This window comes from Homo sapiens, chromosome 19, assembly GCF_000001405.40.
Source record: "Homo sapiens chromosome 19, GRCh38.p14 Primary Assembly".
Lineage (NCBI taxonomy): Eukaryota > Metazoa > Chordata > Mammalia > Primates > Hominidae > Homo > Homo sapiens.
The window spans coordinates 45,665,518-45,684,592 of record NC_000019.10 but is presented as its reverse complement, the minus strand read 5'-3'; the positions used below and the strand labels follow the sequence as shown (position 1 = coordinate 45,684,592).

Here is a 19,075-nt window from a genome sequence, read left to right as displayed (position 1 = left end):
TCTCAAACTCCTGATCTTGTGATCCACCCGCCTCGGCCTCCCAAAGTGCTGGGATTACAGGCGTGAGCCACCACGCCCGACCTAAGTGATCCCATTTTATAGATGAGATCGTTGAAGCCAAGAGAGGGTAAGCAACTTGCTCGGGGTCACCCAGTTAGGAAACAATGGTACTATTTCCAAACCCGGGGAGCCAGGTCCTCCAGAAAAAGTCTTAACTCTTGGGTAGCAAGATGGAGCTGCAGTGTCCTAATCTATAAAGTTGGGACAAGGGGCATGCAACAGGAGGTCACCCGGGGTTTGGTTCTGATACAGGAAGCAACACAGCCCTGGAGTCAGTCTGGGTTCCATTCCTGCCTGCCTTCTCAGGTGTGGTATTGACCTGTAATTACTGGGAAATGGAAATCAGTTTCCCCACCTTGCGGGTTGGCACCCAAGATTCCAGTCCTGGCCGCTCTGCTCAGCTTGTCTGAATTTCCTTCCTCACCTCCTGCCCCACATGCTTTCCAATGCGTCCGCCTCCAGAGGGTGAAATAAAAGTAGAGGTGGCAGGCATAGCCCTGGGCAAACTGGCCCAGCATTGTCCACACACCAGCACCAGGCACGGTCCTAAGCGTCACTCATGGGCATGCCAGGCGACCCTAGGATGCAGGTAACATCTGATCGTATATGTCACAGATCACATGTAACATGGCCACTTGGGGACTCTCTTAGGAGGGACAGTGGCAGCAGGTGTCCCGTTTTCTTGTAGCAACACATGGATAAATTTGAGTAAAGCCACCACGGGCCCCTACTCCACCAGGCAGCCTGCCTCGGTCATTTCCCTTTGTGACACTGCCAAGAAGATGCTTCTACCCAAGAAAGAAAAAAAGCAACTGTTTCTTATACTTTATTTACAAGAGCCTTGCCCTAAGGCCCCCACCCCGCGAGAACCCACAAGGCAGGGTGTAGGGGAATTGGGCAGCAGGGCCGCAAGCTTGAAAAGGCTGAGTTCAGCTTTGGGGCATGTCGGTCCAGGGAGCCACAGACCCCAGGGAAAATGCTCGACAACACCCATACGGTAACTTAAGTGTGCATATGTGTAGGGGGAGGATTTAGGGGTGAGGGTCTTGTGGGTGTATGTACAGGTGGTCCAGCCACAATGAGACTGTCAGCATGCCCCCTCATTCTCCCAGGTTCCAGGGGCCACCCATCTAAGGACAGTGGGGATATGCGTCCTCACTCCGCAGCCAGCAGTGGCCCTGGCTGCTCTGGATATAAAGTTTCAGCTGCGAGGCCTGCCTTGCCTCACCTGTGCTCCGGTCCACACCAAATCACCCTCTCAGGACCCAGTGCCTCTCACATTACTATCTCCAGCTCGCCCCTCTCCTGAGAGCTCCAGACCCTTACACTCAGTGTCCTGTCATGTCCTACAAACACTGCCAGCCTAACCTTTCCAAAGAGCACACGTGGTTCTCCCCCTACCCGAACCCAATCTCTCTATCTTTAGTCTCTCCACCATCCAAAGCCAAGGAGTCCTCTCTGCTGCTGTGTCCTCATGTGCTCCTTCATGAAATCCTCTCACCTCCACCTTTTAAACAGCTTCAAATCCGACTGCTTCATACCCCTCAGTGGCCTCCATCCTGGTCCAGCCACCATCACTTCCCACCTGCAGTCCCCTCCTTTCTGGGCTCCAGCTTCCACCCCTGCCCCTGATAATTTGTCCTCCTACAGGGCAGACAAGAAGGATCTGTTTAAAACATTAGCCCATTTGGGCCGGGCATGGTGGCTTATGCCTGTAATCCCAGCACTTTGGGAGGCTGAGGTGGGTGGATCACTTGAGGTCAGGAGTTCGAGACCAGCCTGGCCAACATGGAGAAACCCTATCTCTACTGAAAATGCAAAAATTAGCCAGGCATGGTGGCGGTGCCTGTAATCCCAGCTACCCGGGAGGCTTGAACTCGGGAGGTGGAGGGTGCAGTGAGCTGAAATTGCACCACTGCACTCCAGCCTGGGTGACAGAGTGAGACTCCGTTTAAAAAAAAAAAAAAAAGCCGGGTGCGGTGGCTCACGCCTGTAATCCCAGCACTTTGAGAGACCCGTGGTGGGAGGATTGCTTGAGCCCAGGAGTTCAAGACCAACCTGGGTAAGAGTGACATCCTCATTTTTTAAAAAATAAAATATTACCCCCAAGAGACACTCCTAAGAATCTCCAATGCACCTGAAATGAAATCCCAACTTGGGTGCCCCTGCCCACTTCTCTGTCTCTCCCCACCTGTTGGCTCTGACTTAATTCTACTCCAGCCAAGGCTGAGCGCCTTCCTGCCCAAGGGCCTTTGCCTATGCTATCGCTTCCGCCTAGAATCCTGTTCTCCAGCTCTCCCCAAAGTGATCTCTTTCACCTCTTTCGGGGATGGCTTAAGTGTCACCTCCTTGGAGACGCCTCCCAGACCACCCTAGGCCCCCTTCTCGCTTCCCTTCATAACCATTCCATAGCGTGTGTGGAACTTGATGTTTTGTGTTCACGGTCTGTTTTCCCCACTCAGTTGTCATCTCCAGAAGGGCAGGGACCTTTTTTCTGTTTCCTTCACCATTTCCCCAGCGTCCTCCGTACTGGGCCTGGCACGCAGTTGGCACTCAATAAATCCATGCTAACTGAACAGACACGGGGATCCCGCCCCCTAGCAGTAACTTTCCAACTCCCGGCTGGCCTCATTCCCAGGCCCTGGGAGGGTCCCCGAGGACAAGCCGCGGCTGGTGGGGACCTCGCCCGGGCCGGAGCCGGAGGGCAGGGCCCGGAAGGCGCGCTCCGGGAGCTGGCGTTGCTCCTCGCCCAGGCTGCGGCGCAGGCGGCAGTGGTGCCAGCCACGGCGGATCTCCGACTGCACCTGTGAGACGATGGCGCTCAGAGGCGGCGCCGTACCCCGCGCTGCCGCCAGAGGGCGGGGGCGGCGGCCGGGTCTCTGCCTACCTCCTTGTTGATGAAGCAGTAGAGGACGCTGACCAGGAAGCCCTGCCCAGAGGAGGCGCGGAGGTTACATCGCTGGTGGGGGCAGGACTGTAACCGCCTCCGCGCCTCCCTCCCCGTTTTTTGTTTGTTTGTTTGTTTGTTTGTTTTTAAGAGTCGGAATATTGCTCTTGTTGCCCAGGCGGGAGTGCAGTGGCACGATCTCGGCAAACGGCAACCTCTACCTCCCGGGTTCAAGTGATTATCCTGCTTCAGCCTCCTGAGTAGCTGGGATTACAGGCGCCCTCCACCACGCCCAGCTAATTTTTGTATTTTTAGTAGAGACGGGGTTTCATCCTGTTGTCCAGACTGGTCTCGAACTCCTGACCTCTGGAGATCCACCCATCTCAGCCTCTCAAAGTGCTGAGATTACAGGCATGAGCCACCGCGCCTAGCCTTTGTAACTGTTCTCTTAATAAGCTCGCGCCCTTGCCAGGCCCTGAAGCACCTCAGCTACCGCCACCGTGGTCCTAAACTATTAGGGTCATCTTTTCACTGGTTCCTGGCTTCCCCCACACCAACCCCACTGCTTGCTCCAGAAGGTTAGCTGAGCACTGCTGGCTGGGGGTTAAGAACTGTGGACCCTGGAGGTGGGCTCCCTGGACTCAAAAACCACCTTTCCACTTTCTTTCCCATTTGGGCAAGCTGCTTAACCACACTGTGCCTCAGTTTCTTCATCTGGAAAATGGAGCAGTAATATAGTAGTAGTTGTGAAAATTTAGGGTGATTGTGTTGCCGTTTTGTTTTTTGCTTTTTTTTTTTTTTTTTTTGGAGACAGGGAGACAGAGTCTTGCTCTGTTGCCCAGGCTGGAGTGCAGTGGCACGATCTCAGCTCACTGCAAACTTGGCCTCCCAGGTTCAAGCGATTCTCCTGAATCAGCCTCCCAAGTACCTGGGATTACAGGCATGCGCCCCCACGCCTAGCTAATTTTTTGTGTTTTTAGTAGAGACAGAATTTTTGCCATGTTGCCCAGGCTGTCTCAAACTCCTGAGCTCAGGCAATACGCCCGCCTCAGCCTCCCAAAGTGCTAGGATTACAGACGTGAGCCAACGCACCCAGCCTGTTTTTGTTTTTTGAGACAGGGTCTGGCTCTGTCACCCAGGCTGGAGTGCAGTGGAGTGATCATGGCTCACTTCATCACTTCAACCTCAACTCCTGAGCTAGAGGGATCCTCCCACTTCAGCCTCCAGAGTGGCTAAGACTACAGGCATGCACCACCACACCAAGTTAATTTTTTTTTTGTTTTTGAGACAGGGCCTTGTTCTGTTTCCCAGGCTGGAGTGCAGTGGCACAATCTCAGCTCAGTGCAACCTCTGCCTCCCAGGTTCAAGCGATGTTCCTGCCTCAGCCTCCTGAATAGCTGGGATTACAGGCACGTGCCACCTAGCCTCGCTAATTTTTGTATTTTAAGTAGAGACAGGGTTTCTCCATGTTGGTCACGCTGGACTGGCCTCCTTGGCCTCCAAAGTGCTGAGATTACAGACATGAGGCACCGCGCCCGGCAGCTAATTTTTTATTTTTGGTAGAGATGAGGATCTTGGCCAGGCGCGGTGGCTCACACCTGTAATCCCGGCGCTTTGGGAGGCTGAAGCGGGCGGATCACCTGAGGTCAGGAGTTCGAGACCAGTCTGGCCAACATGTTGAAACCCCATCTCTACTAAAAATACAAAACTTAGCCAGGCGTGGTAGTGGGCACCTGTAATCCCAGCTACTTGGGAGGCTGAGGCAAGAGAATCGCTCGAATCTGGGAAGTAGAGGTTTCAGTGAGCTGAGATGGCACCATTGCACTGCAGCCTGGGCAACAAGAGTGAAACTCTGTCTCAAAAAAAAAAAAATTAGTCAAGTGTGATGGCTTGCTCCTGTGCTCCCAGCCACTTAGGAGGCTGAAGCAGGAGGATTGCTTTGGACCAGGAGTCCAAGGCTGCAGTGAGCTAGGATCACACCCCTGCACTGGATCCAGCCTGGACAACAGAGGGAGACCTCATCTCTAAAAAAATAAAAATAAATAAAACAGTAACCCCCATCCCTCAGTGGACACTCCTCATCTCTTTTCTTGCTTTATTCTCCCTCTAGGCACATCTCACCATCTGACATTCTATATGCTTTCCTTTTTTTTTTTTTTTTTCTTGAGACATGATCTCCCTCTGTGGCCAGGCTGGAGTGCAGTGGCGTGATCTCGGCTCACTGCAACCTCCACCTCCCGGGTTCAATCGATTCTCCGACCTCAGCCTCCTGAGTAGCTGGGATTACAGGCGGCCGCCACCACATCCAGCTAATTTTTCTATTTTTTTAGTAGAGACAGGGTTTCACCATATTGGTCAGGCTGGTCTTGAACTCTTGACCTCAGGTGATCCGCCTGCCTCGGCCTCCCAAAATGCTGGGATTACAGGTGTGAGCCACTGCGCCCAGCTGTATGCCTTACTTCTATAGTGTGTTTAGTGTGTCTTTCCCACTGGAGGGTAGGGACCATTTGGTTCTTGGCTGTATTCCTGTGATAAGCCTGGAGGAGTGCTTAGCATATACACATGCTCAGTAATTTTTTGCTGAATTTAATGAATGAACAGCCTTGTCCACTGAGACTAGTATTTTCCCCACTTTAGAGATGAGAAAACAGGCCGAATGAGGTGAAGCAGGTTGGGGACTCAGGTAAACCAAGCAAGTGTAAGGTGGGCCTTCAATTTTGGAATGAATCTTTCCTTAGATTCTGCACGTTGGCACCTCACTTACCTCTCCCTACCCTCAACCCTGAGGTGAAGGCCACACAGCTGGCAAACAGCTAGAAAGTGACAGAACCTGAATTTGGCCTCAGCTGTGTCCAGCTTCGAAGCCCTCACTCTTCACTAGCAGGCAGCACTGCTGGGGCCGCCAATCTCCTGTCCTGGTCCCTGCTGCTCCCCACAGCCCAGGACAGTCCTAGCTCAGTATTTTGTATCGAATGAATGAACGGGCTGGGCGCCATGGCTCACGCCTGTAATCCCAGCACTTTGGGAGGCCGAGGCGGGTGGACTACCCAAGGTTAGGAGTTGGAGACCAGCCTGGCCAACATGGTGAAACCCCGCCTCTACTAAAAATACAAAATTAGCCAGGTGTTGTCGCACATTCCTGTAATCCCAGCTACTCTAGAGGCTGAGGCAGGAGAATCGCTTGAACCCGGGAGTCAGAGGCTGCAATGAACCGAGATCGCGCCACTGTACTCCAGCCTGGGCGACAGGGCGAGAATCCGTCTCAAAAAAAAAAAAGAATGAATTAATTAATGAACGAACTAAATCCCATCTTCCCACCCCATTCAGTGGCTGCACCAGAGAACGACTGTAGCTTTCGTGCCCCTCTGGGGAGGAGGCCCTGGGTGGAAGGATGGAGCCCCTGCACCCTGCCTGAGCACCTGGAAGGAGCTGAGGAAGATCTCAAAGCCGAGCTTGGCGAAGCGCAGGGCGCCCCGGGCCTGTTCCTCTGTCACGGGAGCAAACACCACCTCGTGGACACCCAGCAGGGGCACCAGCGTCAGCGTGGAGCGAGCCAGCCTGGGGAGAGAGGGCGGCAGCAGTGATCCCGCAGCCCTGGTTCCCCATCTCGCACCCGGCCCCTTCCCCTCGGTCCCCAACGCATGCCCTCACCTCAGCCGGTAATCCCGGCAGCGCATTTGCCGTGTCCTCAGCTTGGACAGGAGAATGCCAAGAATGCGGATAAAAATGAGGAAATTAATCTGTGGGGAGAGATAAGGGCTGAGCCAGCCGCGATCCCATTCTGAAGGGGCAGGAGGAGGTGGCAGCCCACTTCCCAGAATGGGAAATCCCTGAGGGCGGCCTGGTGGAGGCGGGACCGATCCTACCAAGATGGTCATGAGGATGGGGGTCCGTATAATCCACCAAATGGCCTTGACTTCGTTGCGCTCCCAGCACCTGGGGAAGGCGGAGTAGAGCTAAGAGATAGAAAAACTCTAGACTCACCGATCACCAAGCTCATTTGCTCGCTAGGCCCCGCCCACCGCACTTGAGACCACACACATTCTCTAAGGTCCCGCCCATTACGATCCAGGCCCCACCCCCTCCCCTTGCCGATTGCCCTGGAACACAACCTTTCCTAGCTCCCCATTACTTCGGATCCCGCCCACGTATCCCCAGCACCGAATAGCCTTCCGACCCTGCCCACATGTCCATCACAACCCGCCACAGTCCCTCAAAGCCCCGCCCACCTCCCACGCCCCGCCCCAGACCCTGCAACTCACTGCGTGTTCTCGTACAGGTACCTGACGATCACCCAGGGAATGACGAAAAGCGCGGGGGCCCCTGTGCAGACCCCGACCCCGCCCCCCCACCCCGCCGCAGCTGTCAGCGCGCTCACGGGCCCCGCCAGGCCCAAGACCCGCGGAATTCCTCTGTCGGGGTGGGGAAGGCAGAAGCCTAGAGACGGGAGGAGACCCGCAGAGGCCAACCAGCAGGGCAGTTGGGGGAGCCGAGGAGAGGCGCGCTGGGTTGGGCGGGGGACGGGATCGGAGCTCACCCCAGCCGAGGAGCAGGTAGTAGCGGAAGTGGCCCTCCTCGGAGCCTCCCACGAGCACCAGGAGACTGTGCAGGTAGACGCCCTCCACCAGCAGCCACGTGTAGTTGGCACCCACGCAGTACTGGGTCACGATCTGGGCCGTGCGGCAGGCAGCGAGGGCCTAGGGAGGGGCCAGACCGGTAGAGGGGTAGTCAGCGCTGCCCGGGTGTCTCCCAGTCTCCCCCAGCTTTGATCGCCCTTCCACCCCGTCTCTTGCCATCAAAGGTTCTTCCACTCTGTGTCCCCAGTGAATGGTATCTGTGATTGGTTTCTCTCACCCTATTCCCTTTCCCTGTATGGACTCTCCCACTCTGAACCCCTTAACAATTGGTATCTGGTAGGGCGCGGTGGCTCACGCCTGTAATCCCAGCACTTTAGGAGGCCGAGGTGGGCGGATCACCTGAAGTCAGGAGTTGGTGACCAGCCTGGCCAACATGGTGAAACCCTGTCTCTGCTAAAAATACAAAAATTAGCCAGGTGTGGTGGCAGGCGCCTGTAATCCCAGCTACTCGGGAAGCTGATGCAGGAGAATCGCTTGAACCCGGGAGGTGGAGGTTGCGGTGAGCCGAGATTGCACCACTGCACTCCAGCCTGAGCGACAGAGGGAGACTCCGTCTCAAAAAAAAAAAAAAAAAAAAAAAAATCAGCTTCTTTTTTGAGACTCCATCTCAAAGAAACAAAACAAACAAAAACAAAACAAAAAATAATTGGTATCTTCCATCATTGCCGTCAGTTCCCCCCTAGATCCCCAAAATGTGACCTCTGTCACTGGTCACCCCAGCTCCTTCTAAGAACTGAACTCCCTGCCAGTACCCACATTATGGACTCTCCTGCCCTATGGCTTCCTCTTTTTTTTTTTTTTTTTTTTAGACGGAGCCTTGCTCTGTCGCCCAGGCTGGAGCGCAATGGCACGATCTCGGCTCACTGCAATCTCTGCCTCCCAGGTTCAAGTGATTCTCCTACCTCAGCCTCCTGAGTAGCTGGGACTACAGGCATGTGCCCCATGCCCAGCTAATTTTTGTATTTTTAGTAGAGACGGGGTTTCACTATGTTGGTCAGGCTGGTCTTGAACTCCTGACCTTGTGTCCTGCCTTCCTCGTCCTCCCAAAGTGCTTGGATTACAGGCATGAGCCACTGTGCCTGGCCCCTCTTATTTTATTTTATTTCATTTTATTTTTTTGAAACAGGGTCTCAATCTTTCGCCAGATTGCACTGGCACTATCACAGCATCACAGCTCACTGCAGCCTCGACCTGATGGACTCAAGTGATCCTACCATCTCAGCCTCCCAAGTAGCTGGGAGTACAGGCGAGGGCCGCCATGCCTGGCTAATTTTTGTATGTTTTTGTAGAGGTGGGGTTTTGCTATGTTACCCAGGCTGGTCTTGAACTCCTGGGCAAAAAGCGATCTGCCCACCTCAGCCTCCCAAAGTGCTGGGATTACAGGCATGAGCCACTGCCGGGCCACGCTATGGCTTTTTTTTTTTTTTTTTTTTTGCGATGGAGTCTTGCTCTGTCACCCAGGCTGGAGTGCAGTGGCGCAATCTCAGCTCACTGCAACCTCTGTCTCCTGGGTTCAAGCAATTCTTCTGCCTCAGCCTCCTGAGTAGCTGGGATTACAGGTGTCCGCCACCACACCCAGCTAATTTTTGTATTTTTAGTAGAGACAGGGTTTCACCATATTGGCCAGGCTGATCTTGAACTCCTGGCCTCGTGATCTGCCCGTCTTGGCCTCCCAAAGTGCTGGGATTACAGATGTGAGCCACTGTGCCTGGGTGCGTGCGGCTTCTTAACAATTGGTATGGTCCAACTTTCAACAAGTTAGTTCTTACCACGTCTGCTCCCAGACTCTAGTCTCTCCCACCCTGTCTCCTAGTAACAAACTGGCACCTGCCACATCCCCACCCCCACTTACTTTCTCGTATCCTGCCATGCCTCACCGCCAGCAGGTGGATTCTCTCATTGGTGAAAAAGTTCAATGATGGGTGAAATAATGAGGGAGAGGAACGGAAAATTCCAGTATGGGAGTGATAGGCTGGGAGAGTTAAATGATGGCAGAGGCCGAGTTGGGAGGTTCCCTCTCCAAATGTGTCTTGATCCCCCACCCCAAGACACATTTGGAGAGGGACCCTCCCAACTCAGATAAACTGTGGAGAGTGTAGGAGATAGGAAATGGACTGAGAACTTCCTGGTCCCACCAGAGAAGCAAGATTCCCATTTGGAGGAACGGAAGGAGGATGCCCACCTGGTTCCACAGCGCAAGGGCCTGGTCCCCAAGGTAGGGGCCAGGTCGAGGTAGCAGACGGTCTCGGCTGAGAATGGCCGCAGCTCGCAGCATGAAAGACGTGAACAGGTTGATGTGGATATAGTTTCTAGTGCAATGTAGCCGCCTAGGGGAATTTGGAAGGCAGTGTGGGGGCCCCTGGAGAGCTGTCCTCAGCCACACAGAGTTCTATTTTTTTTTTTAAACAGGGTCTCACTCTGTCACCCAGGCTAGAATGCAGTGACACAATCAGGGCTCACTGCAGCCTCAACCTCCTGAGCTCAAGCAATCCTCCTGTCTCAGCGCCCCCCTATAGCTGGTACCACAGGTGCACCACCAGTATGCCTAGCTAATTTTATTTGTCGTAGAGACAAGGTTTCACTATATTGCCCAGCCTGATCTCAAACTCCTGGGCTCAAGCGATCCTCCTGCCTTGGCATCCCAAAGAGCTGGGATTACAGGCATCAGCCACCGCTCCCGGCCACACAGAGCTCCTTTAACCACCCCCACTGCTCCCCATAGAACCACCAGTGGATAGCTGGACCTGGTGGAAACAGACCACCCCATCTTACTGGACAAACTGAGGCCGAGCTCACATCTCTGCCGCCACCACTCAGGGTTAAGGTCCCACCTGAACAAACTCAAGATGAGCAGGGCTAGCAGCAGTGTGGCGAGAGACAGGGAGTAGCCGACAGTGTACATGACCTGCAACCGCTCCAAGATGAGCCTTTGGTCCTGGTCGGGGCAAGAAGGGGAAGGGAACAAGGCTTGGCTCGAAGCCCCAGGCCCAGAGAGAGACTGGAAGGACCTCTGCTCTTTGTTTCTGCCCAAATACCCTATTTTATCTTGGGGAACTGCTTACCCTTATTTGAGAAGGGCTGACTCCACCCTTCAGCTCCAGGGCACGAGGCATGTGACCAGCCAACCAGAGATTTTTTTTTTTTTGAGACATGGTCTTGCTTTGTTGCCCAGGCTGGAGTGCTCTGGCAGGATCATGGTTCCCTGCAGCCTCGCCCCCCAGGGCCCAAGCGATCCTCCCACCCCAGCCTCCAGAGTAGCTGGAACTACAGGTGCGTGCCACCATGCCCAGCTAATTTTTGTATTTTTAGTAGAGACGGGGTTTCACCATGTTGGCCAGAATGGTCTCAATCTCTTGACCTCGTGATCCGCCCGCCTTGGCCTCCCAAAGTGCTGGGATTACAGGCATGAGCCACCACTCCTGGCCAAATTTTTATATTTTTTGTAGAGATGGAGTTTCACTATGTTACCCAGGCTGGTCTCAAAATCCTGCGTTCAAGCAATCATCTTCTCAAAGTGTTGGAATTATAGGCATGAGCCATTGACCTTGGCCCAACTACAGCATTCTTTTTTTTTTTTTTTTTTTTTTTTGAGATGGAGTCTCGCTCTGTTACTCAGGCTGGAGTGCAGTGGCACGATCTTGGCTCACTGCAACCTCTGCCTCCTGGGTTCAAGCAATTCTCATGTCTCAGCCCTCTGAGTAGCTGGGACTACAGGTGCATACCACCATGCCCAGCTAATTTTTGTATTTTTAGTAAAGACGGGGTTTTGACATGTTGGCCAGGCTGGTCTCAAACTCCTGACCTCAAGTGATCCACCCTCCTTGGCCTCCCAAAGTGCTGGGATTACAGGCGTGAGCCACACCACCCGGCCATCTTATTCTTTTCCATCACAGAAGGCAGTACATCTTTCTCTCTTTGAAGCAAGTCTGAGTTGAGTTTCTCTCACTTACAACCCAGAGGTCTGAACAGTCCAAGGGGTTTCAGGCCCTGCCTGAATCTACTGCCTTTCCATCTCTCCCTGGACTCCTAACCTGAAGCCCTCACCTCTTCTTACCAGAAAGGCCTCATTCTTCTCTGGGTTCTCACATTGTGTATGGTCTCTCCAAAGTCCCCATTGGCCATCACTGCCACACTGGCGGAGGACGAAACCTGCAGCCACTGTGGGGAAAGAAGAGAGGGAATTAAGGCACACAGAGAAAGAGATAAATACAGAAAGACAAACTGTGAGACAATAACAGAGAGGGAGAGAGCCGAAGTGGTGATGATGATGATGATGATGATGATGATGATAAACCCTTATATGGCATGTTATTTGTATTAATTTAATATTCATACTAGCCCATGGAATTAGTAATATCCTTAACCTAGTTCTACATATGGGAAAATTGAGGTACAAAATGTTAAGGCTGGGCGTGGTGGCTCACACCTGTAATCCCAGCACTTTGGGAGGCCAAGACAGGTGGATCACAAGGTCAAGAGATCGAGACCATCCTGGCCAACATGGTGAAACCCTGTCTCTACTAAAAATACAAAAATTAGCTGGGTGTGGTGGCGTGCGCCTGTAGTCCCAGCTACTCAGGAGGCTGAGGCAGGAGAATCGCTTGAACCCGGGAGGTGAGGTTACAGTGAGCCGAGATCACGCCACTGCATTCCAGCCTTGCAACAAAGCGAGACTCTGTCTCAACAACAACAAAAACAACAAAAGTTAAATAGGCCTGTAATCCCAGCGCTTTGGGAGGCTGAGGTGAGAGGATCCCTTGAGGCCAGGAGTTTAAGACCAGCCTGGGTAACATGGCAAGACTCTGTCACTGCCAATTTTTTAAAAAAAATTAGCTGGGTGTGTTAGCGTGCGCCTGTAGTCCCTGCTATTTGGGAGGCTGAGGCGGGAGGATCGCTTCAACCCAGGAGTTCCCAGGCTGCAGTGAACTATGATGCTGCCACCACATGGGTGACAGAGCCAGACTCTGTCTCAAAAAGAAAAAAATAGGTTAAATAAATAAAGTGTCTGAGGCGACATAGCTAGTTAGGTTAAGATGCCCAGAGACTGACAGACTCAGGAAAAGGAGACAAAATAAGAATCCTGTGGTGGCCGGGCGCGGTGGCTCATGCCTGTAATCCCAGAACTTTGGGAAGCCAAGGCCGGCGGATCACTTGAGGTTAGGAGTTCGAGACCAGCCTGGCCAACATGGTGAAACCCTGTCTGTACTAAAAATATATATATAAAAAAAAAGCCGGGTGTGGTGGCGCGCGCCTGTAATCCCGGCTTCTGTAATCCCGGCTTCTCGGGAGGCTGAGGCTGGAGAATCGCTTGAACCCGGGAGGCGGAAGTTGCAGTGAGCCGAGTTCATCCCACTGCACTCCAGCCTGGGCGATAGAGCGAGACTCCGTCTCCAAATAAATAAATAGAAAGAGATACGGAGACAGAGAAGCTGCGTTATGTGAGATAGGCAGGGTTGGACAGACAGGAGAAACCCAGCCTGCCGGAAAGGAGTAGGGGGCAAAGAGGAGCAGGAGAGGGGTGCAGGTGAGCTGTGGGACTCGGATGTAGGTGTCTGGGGGCAAAGGTTAGCAGTTGTTTGTGTCTGGGGAGGGCTCCGGGCCCAGGGAGCACCTCACCATGGTGGTGCCAGGGCAGGTACCAGGGGCAGGACGCACGGGCAGTGGCATTGGGTGCAGCATAGTCCCAGCAGACGTACATATCGAAGGACCCGTTACAGGCGAGGCCTGGGGGTGGGCACGGGGGCCAGGTGCCCAGTGGACCTACTGCGCAGTGGGCCAAGTGCTACTGCGCAGTGGGCCAAGTGCTTCTCCGCAGTGGGCCAAGTGCTTCTCCGCCGGCCACACCAAGCCCGGCTCTAGCCCCGCCCACTCGGAGGGCGTTCCGTCCCGGCTCGGCCACAAGCTCCTCCCACCAGCCTCAAAGCTCCGCCCCTCCTCCCGGCCCCACTCTGGGCTCCTCCCACCAAACAAGTCCCCGCCCCAGATCGTCCCACCCGGAAGGGCCCTTCCCAGTCTCCATCCCAAACCCCGCCCCCTTCAAGGTTTATTTCTGTGCAGGCCCCGCCCAAGGCTCCTCCCATTTCAAGCTTCCTCCCAGGCCTCCCCCAGGAACCGTGGTCCCGCCCCAGTTCCCACCATGCTCAGGTCAGTCCCCGGGCCTCTCCAGCCCACAGCGCCCCGAGATTTCTTCCCCGCCCGTCAGCCCAAGGCCCATCCCAAGCCCACCCCTCTCAGCCTCAGGTCCTCCCCGCGTCCCCAGCCCTCCTGGTCACACCTGAAGGCGGTTCCGCGGCTGCCAAGGTCTCCTGGCACTCCCTGCGGTACCGTTCCCAGCGCTGGTACAGCTCCCCCGCCGTCTGCCCCTTAGAGCCTGTCTAGGAAAAGAAAGAAGGGAGGACCCCCCCAGACCGACCCCCGCTCCCAGGCTGCTAGGTCCATGTGGCCCAGAAGCGCCCCAGAGAGACTTTGAGGGTCTGTTGCGTGTTGTTCGGGAGTCTTGGGTAGCTTGGAAACCAGTTCCAAGTCTTGGGGTGGGGTGCCTGGAAGCCACCCACTGGAGTTGCTATGGGAGACTGAAAACCTTCAAGAAAATTGGGGAGGGGGTGGCTGGAAATTATCAGGAGGACTTGTTGGGGGAAGAAAAGGGAGTGGAAACGATAATCAAAACTCGAATCTGGGCCCGGGCGCGGTGGCTCACGCCTGTAATCCCAGCACTTTGGGAGGCCGAAGCGGGTGGATCACTTGAGGCCAGGAGTTCGAGACCAGCCTGACCAACATGGTGAAATCCCCGTCTCTACTAAAAATCCAAAAATTAGCCAGGCATGGTGGAGTGCGCCTGTAGTCCCAGCTACTCGAGAGGCTGAGGCGGGAGAATCGCTTGAACCCGGGAGACGGAGGTTGTAGTGAGCCGAGATCATGCCACTGCATCTCAGCCTGGGTGACAGAGTGAGACTCCGTCTCGAAACAAACAAACAAACCACCACCCAACAACTTGAATCTGGGCAAGCGGGACAGTCTTGAAACTCTCTTTGCGCTGAGGGAAGCCTCCCCCCCCCACCCCGAGACAGAGTCTCACTCTGTCACCCAAGTTAGAGTGCAGTGGCGCGATCTCGGCTCACCGCAACCTCTGCCTCCCGGGCTCAAGCGATTCTCCTGCCTCAGCCTTCCGAGTAGCTGGGATTACAGGCGGCCGCCACCACGCCCGGCTAATTTTTGTATTTTTTTTAGTAGAGAGGGAGTTTCACCATGTTGGCCAGGCTGGTCTCGAACTCCTGGCCTCAAGTGATCCACCCGCTTCGGCCTCCCAAAGTGCTGGGATTACAGGCGTGAGCGACAGCGCCCTGACGACGGAAGCCCTAAAACCGTCCCCATACCTCCCTCCAAGCCTGGAGCTCCTCTGGCTCCTCGCTTCCTCACCTCCGCCCTCTGGAGCAGCAGCCCGCACAGTGAGAGCCGCAGCAGCAGCTGCAGGATCGGAGAGGTAGTCATCGTGAGGGCGGCGAAGGGTCTGGTTCGTGCAGGGGCGATCAGGCCTGGAGGGTCCCAGGGCAAGGTCAGCACCTCTGCCCTCCTACTCCAACCCCAGCGTCACCCCGCCTCAGGGATTCACACACAGGGGCAGACGGCTGGGGAGCCGTATACACGCGGGACTCCGAGGCAGCGCACCCGCTCCCGCAACTCCCAGGCGTGATGATCTGGGGGGAGGGAGAGGCACGCGGAGTGGGTGGAACTCCGGTGGTGGGCGGGGCCCCTTAAGTGATTCCCCGGCCTCCCCTGACTGTTGTTGGGGCAGCAAAGGTGGAAGGGGGGGGTGTTTGCTGAGCGGGCGGTTGCCCTAGAGCTACGCTGGGCGGAAGTGTCAGTGTCACCGAAGTCTGGACCTACAGACTCCTGGGAACCCGGGGACCGCCTTGGAGAGGAGGGGGTAGAAACCGTCAGCCTAGACCCCTTTTCTATGGGGAACTGAAAAACTTGAAGGTTTTCAGTACCCCCTAGTGGGGTACTTGAAACGCCCATCTGAGTTCCCACAGCCTGGTGGAGAACTTGAAACGCCCATCCGAGCTCCCACTCTCCAAGCCCAAAGGGTTTTCTAGCACACATAGGAACCTGACCTTACAAAACTTTCCCCGCTGGGGGTAGATAAAGCCCAGAGTAAGTGGAACAACCCTTTCCCAGCATCCAAATACTTAGGGACTAGAGAAGCGACAGATCCGGGGTTAGATGTGCAGATGCCTGGAAATCGGTCTAACGCCCGACACCCACTCACCCGCGCCCCCGCGGCTCCACGTAGAGAAAGACGGAAGCAGAGAGGATCTCAGGTCGAGCCTCAGAAGGACAGACAACGGCGTCACAGACACAAGAGACAGAAATGTAAAGACTGAGAGGCGCAGAGACGGAGGGACAGAATGAGACCCCCAGCCAGAGACCAGAGAAAAACAAACAGAGAAAGAGACGCAGATGTGGGCTAGGAGACAAAGAAGAGGCAGAGACGTGGAGGGAGACAGAGCAGGGGAAAGAGAAGTTATCTAGCAGCTAACCAGAGATGGAAACACGCAGACAGAGACATCAAGAGACAGAGATGAGCAGAGATGGTGGTGGGCACAGAGACAGAGAGACAAAGGCAGGGCAGAGAAGCAGAGAGGGAGAGTGCCAGAGACTTGAGAGGTCAAGGGGGGGCAGGGAGAATGGGCTGGGATTGGGGAGCCCTCACCTGTCCCCAGTCCTGCTCCTGGTCACTTGCTCCTGCAGCCCCTGCCACCGCTGCCTCCAACTGCCTTGTCTCGGCTCTGGGAGAGGTGACAGGCGCTGGCAGCCCGGGGTGATGGGAGGGGGCGGGGCCAAGGCGGGACAGGGAACGGAAGCGGGGAGCTCTGGGGCAGAGAGCCGAGCAGGGGGCAGTCATCAAGGTCATGAGGGAGGGCAGTTACTGAATTGTCCTTATCGTCCTGAGGACCCCTGCACCAAGTGTGTACAATCTCTCATGCTGTCCCACCCACAGGTACCCGCCCCCACCGCCACTCATTCCCAGAGCCTCAGTCACTCAATCAAACATGCAGTGTCACACACAATCCCATAGGCTGAGCCATGGAAAGGCACAGTCACAGAACCTCACAAGCTGTTACTCACACAGTCACACATTCAGTCACACCCATACAGTCCCATGGTCACACCCAGACAGCCACAGTCTCTCACTCACAGGTGGACAGTCATCCACTGTGACACACAGTCATGTACCCAGGGCTATGGACTCCTGCACACACACAGTAACGCTCACAGTGTCTCACAGTTCCAACAACACTGTCAATCACCCACACATTCACGCAATCACCGGGTTTCATCACAAACACTGTTGCCCTGCTAGCCTGTGTGGCCCAGGAGGGTAGAGCCAGGACATCTGGGTCACCACTGGGTCCCCAAAATCGTTAAGAGCAGGGGTTCAAGGAAGGATTGTCATGAAATAAATATACGCAGTATGCAGTTGTGTGGTTACTCGCAGACATAGAATTTTTTTTTTTTGAGACAGAGTCTTCCTCTGTTGCTGAGGCTGGAGTACAGAAGCATGATCTCAGCTCACTGCAACCTCCGCCTCCTGGGTTCAAGCAATTCTCCCACCGCAGCCTCCCAAGTAGCTGGGATTCCAGGCACACACCACCACAACCGACTAATTTTTGTATTTTTAGTAGAGACGGTGTTTCACCATGTTGCCCAGGCTGGTCTCAAACTCCTGACCTCAGGTGTTCCACATGTCTTGGCCTTCCAAAGTGGTGGGATTACAGGCGACAGCCACCACACCCGGCCCATACAATCCTTTTTACATTTTATTTATTTATTTATTTATGAGAGTGGAGTGCACTGGAACAATTATAGCTCACTGCAGCCTCCACTTCCTGGGCTCAAGGGATCCTCTTAACTCAGCCTCTTGACTAGCTGGGACTATGGGCATGAGCCACCATGCCCCACCATTTTATTAAAAAATAATTTCAACTTTTTTTTTTTTGAGACAGGGTCTCACTCTGTCACCCAGGATGGAGTGCAGTGGCGCCATCTTGGCTCACTTCAACCTCCGCCTCCAGGGTTCAGGAGATTCTCCTGCCTCAGCCTCCCGAGTAGCTGGGACTACAGGTGTGTGCCACCACACCCAGCTAAAATTTTTGTATTTTTAGTAGAGATGGGGTTTCACCATGTTGGCCATGCTGGTCTCCAACTCTTGGCCTCAAGCAATCCTCCTGCCTCGGCCTCCCAAAGTGCTGGGACTACAGGGATGTGCCATCACACCCAGCCTCAACTTTTATTTATTTATTTATTCATTTATTTTAATTCATTTTATTTATTATTTTTTCTAGACAGGGTCTCACTCTGTCACCCAGGCTGGAGTGCAGTGGCGCCAACTTGGCAACCTCTGCCTCTTGGGTTCAGGCGATTCTCATGCCTCAACCACCAGAGTAGCTGGGACTACAGGTGTATGCCACCACGCCTGGCTGATTTTTATATTTTTAGTAGAGATGAGGTTTCACCATGTTGGCCATATTGTTCTCCAACTCCTGGCCTCAAGTGATCCTCCCGCCTTGGCCTCCCAAAGTGCTGGGATTACAGGTATGAACCACCGCGCCTGGCCTTAACTTTTATTTTAGATTCAGGGGGCACATGTGCAGGTTTGTCACGGGGGTGTATTGCACGATGCGGAGGTTGGGGGTATAAATGATCCCATCATCCAGGTAGTGAGCATGGCACCCAACGGGTAGTTTTTTAACCCTTGTCTCCTTCCCTGCCCCCTCTAGGAGTCCCCAGTGTCTGTTGTTCGCATGTTGGTGTCCATGTGTACCCAGTGCTCAGCTCCCACTTATAAGTAAGAGCATCTGGTGTTTGGATTTCTGTTCCTTTGTTAATTCACTTAGGATACTGGCCTCCAGCTGCATCTGTGTTGCTGCAAAGGACTTTCCTTTCCTTTTCCTCTCCCCTCTCCCCTCTCCCCTCCCCCCTCCCTTCCTCCCTTTCTCCCTTTCTCTCTTTCTTTCTTGGGATGGAGTCTCACTCTGTCGCCCAGGCTGGAGTGCAGTGGCACGATCTCAGCTCACTGGAACCTCTGCTTCCCAGGTTCAAGCAGTTCTCCTGTCTTAGCCTCCCAAGTAGCTGGGATTACAGGCGCCCGCAACCATGCCCGGCTAATAATTTTTTTTTTTTTTTTGGCCGAGTCTCCCTCTGTAGCCCAGGCTGGAGTACAGTGGCGTGATCTTGGCTCACTGCAATCTCCACCTCCCGGGTCCTGGTTCAAGCAATTATCCTGCCTCAGCCTCCCGGGTAGCTGGGATTACAGGCACGCGCCACCATGCCCAGCTAATTTTTGTATTTTTAGTAGAGACAAGTTTTCACCATGTTGGCCAGGCTGGTCTTGAACTCCTGACCTCGTGATCCTCCCGCCTCAGTCTCCCAAAGTGCTGGGATTACAGGCGTGAGCCACTGTGGCTGGCTTTTTTTTTTTTTTTTTTTTTTA

At 54.3% G+C, this 19,075-nt stretch overlaps 1 protein-coding gene and 2 non-coding genes across 14 annotated transcripts, besides 11 other annotated features; 1 reads left to right on the top strand and 2 right to left on the bottom strand.

The window, feature by feature from the left end:
• Positions 1 to 870: 870 nt before the first annotated feature.
• Positions 871 to 16,372, bottom strand: GIPR (gastric inhibitory polypeptide receptor). Of its 12 annotated transcripts, none has more exons than XM_047438600.1 (14): positions 16,295 to 16,372; positions 15,001 to 15,278; positions 13,859 to 13,958; positions 13,201 to 13,308; positions 11,639 to 11,742; positions 10,416 to 10,519; positions 9,767 to 9,911; positions 7,485 to 7,644; positions 7,210 to 7,270; positions 6,814 to 6,883; positions 6,599 to 6,687; positions 6,367 to 6,505; positions 2,948 to 2,989; positions 871 to 2,864 (listed from the first exon to the last, which is right to left on the bottom strand). In XM_047438600.1, the coding sequence occupies exons 2-14, from the start codon at positions 15,070 to 15,072 to the stop codon at positions 2,658 to 2,660; spliced, it is 1,401 nt and encodes a 466-aa protein (XP_047294556.1). In that variant the 5' UTR covers positions 15,073 to 15,278; positions 16,295 to 16,372; the 3' UTR covers positions 871 to 2,657. The 12 variants fall into 12 exon arrangements, with proteins under 12 accessions (XP_047294556.1, XP_011525012.1, NP_000155.1 ...); XM_011526710.3 differs by having other exon boundaries at positions 6,599 to 6,883; positions 15,001 to 15,116; positions 15,198 to 15,278; NM_000164.4 differs by having other exon boundaries at positions 15,001 to 15,116.
• Positions 2,622 to 3,011: a silencer, noted in NCBI's record as "silent region_10792". NCBI's record gives its function as "represses an Ori minimal core promoter by ATAC-STARR-seq in GM12878 lymphoblastoid cells {active_cell/tissue: GM12878}" and the evidence as "EXISTENCE:reporter gene assay evidence [ECO:0000049][PMID:35858748]".
• Positions 3,182 to 3,241: an enhancer, noted in NCBI's record as "active region_14811". NCBI's record gives its function as "activates an Ori minimal core promoter by ATAC-STARR-seq in GM12878 lymphoblastoid cells {active_cell/tissue: GM12878}" and the evidence as "EXISTENCE:reporter gene assay evidence [ECO:0000049][PMID:35858748]".
• Positions 7,143 to 7,402: a silencer, noted in NCBI's record as "silent region_10791". NCBI's record gives its function as "represses an Ori minimal core promoter by ATAC-STARR-seq in GM12878 lymphoblastoid cells {active_cell/tissue: GM12878}" and the evidence as "EXISTENCE:reporter gene assay evidence [ECO:0000049][PMID:35858748]".
• Positions 7,433 to 7,532: a silencer, noted in NCBI's record as "silent region_10790". NCBI's record gives its function as "represses an Ori minimal core promoter by ATAC-STARR-seq in GM12878 lymphoblastoid cells {active_cell/tissue: GM12878}" and the evidence as "EXISTENCE:reporter gene assay evidence [ECO:0000049][PMID:35858748]".
• MIR642A (microRNA 642a) lies at positions 9,569 to 9,665 on the bottom strand. The gene has a single exon (NR_030372.1). It is a non-coding gene; the product is annotated as a microRNA 642a (primary transcript).
• On the top strand, positions 9,585 to 9,661 carry MIR642B (microRNA 642b). The gene has a single exon (NR_037512.1). It is a non-coding gene; the product is annotated as a microRNA 642b (primary transcript).
• Positions 13,218 to 13,736: an enhancer, noted in NCBI's record as "H3K4me1 hESC enhancer chr19:46174115-46174633 (GRCh37/hg19 assembly coordinates)". NCBI's record gives its function as "activates a minimal SCP1, AML or CMV promoter by ChIP-STARR-seq in naive H9 embryonic stem cells {active_cell/tissue: H9 hESC(naive)}" and the evidence as "EXISTENCE:reporter gene assay evidence [ECO:0000049][PMID:30033119]".
• Positions 13,639 to 13,688: a silencer, noted in NCBI's record as "silent region_10789". NCBI's record gives its function as "represses an Ori minimal core promoter by ATAC-STARR-seq in GM12878 lymphoblastoid cells {active_cell/tissue: GM12878}" and the evidence as "EXISTENCE:reporter gene assay evidence [ECO:0000049][PMID:35858748]".
• Positions 13,719 to 13,898: a silencer, noted in NCBI's record as "silent region_10788". NCBI's record gives its function as "represses an Ori minimal core promoter by ATAC-STARR-seq in GM12878 lymphoblastoid cells {active_cell/tissue: GM12878}" and the evidence as "EXISTENCE:reporter gene assay evidence [ECO:0000049][PMID:35858748]".
• Positions 13,719 to 14,255: a biological region, named in NCBI's record as "H3K4me1 hESC enhancer GRCh37_chr19:46173596-46174114".
• Positions 13,737 to 14,255: an enhancer, noted in NCBI's record as "H3K4me1 hESC enhancer chr19:46173596-46174114 (GRCh37/hg19 assembly coordinates)". NCBI's record gives its function as "activates a minimal SCP1, AML or CMV promoter by ChIP-STARR-seq in naive H9 embryonic stem cells {active_cell/tissue: H9 hESC(naive)}" and the evidence as "EXISTENCE:reporter gene assay evidence [ECO:0000049][PMID:30033119]".
• Positions 15,668 to 15,947: an enhancer, noted in NCBI's record as "active region_14810". NCBI's record gives its function as "activates an Ori minimal core promoter by ATAC-STARR-seq in GM12878 lymphoblastoid cells {active_cell/tissue: GM12878}" and the evidence as "EXISTENCE:reporter gene assay evidence [ECO:0000049][PMID:35858748]".
• Positions 16,328 to 16,487: a silencer, noted in NCBI's record as "silent region_10787". NCBI's record gives its function as "represses an Ori minimal core promoter by ATAC-STARR-seq in GM12878 lymphoblastoid cells {active_cell/tissue: GM12878}" and the evidence as "EXISTENCE:reporter gene assay evidence [ECO:0000049][PMID:35858748]".

Coding starts and splice junctions, on each gene's coding strand:
- GIPR (XM_011526710.3), bottom strand. CDS start 15,072: ATGACTACCTCTCCGATCCTGCAGCTGCTGCTGCGGCTCTCACTGTGC. Junction 6,884..7,209: donor TACCTGTACGAGAACACGCA/GTGAGTTGCAGG, acceptor CGCCTTCCCCAG/GTGCTGGGAGCGCAACGAAG. Junction 2,990..6,366: donor TCTTCCTCAGCTCCTTCCAG/GTGCTCAGGCAG, acceptor TCCTCTGGGCAG/GGCTTCCTGGTCAGCGTCCT.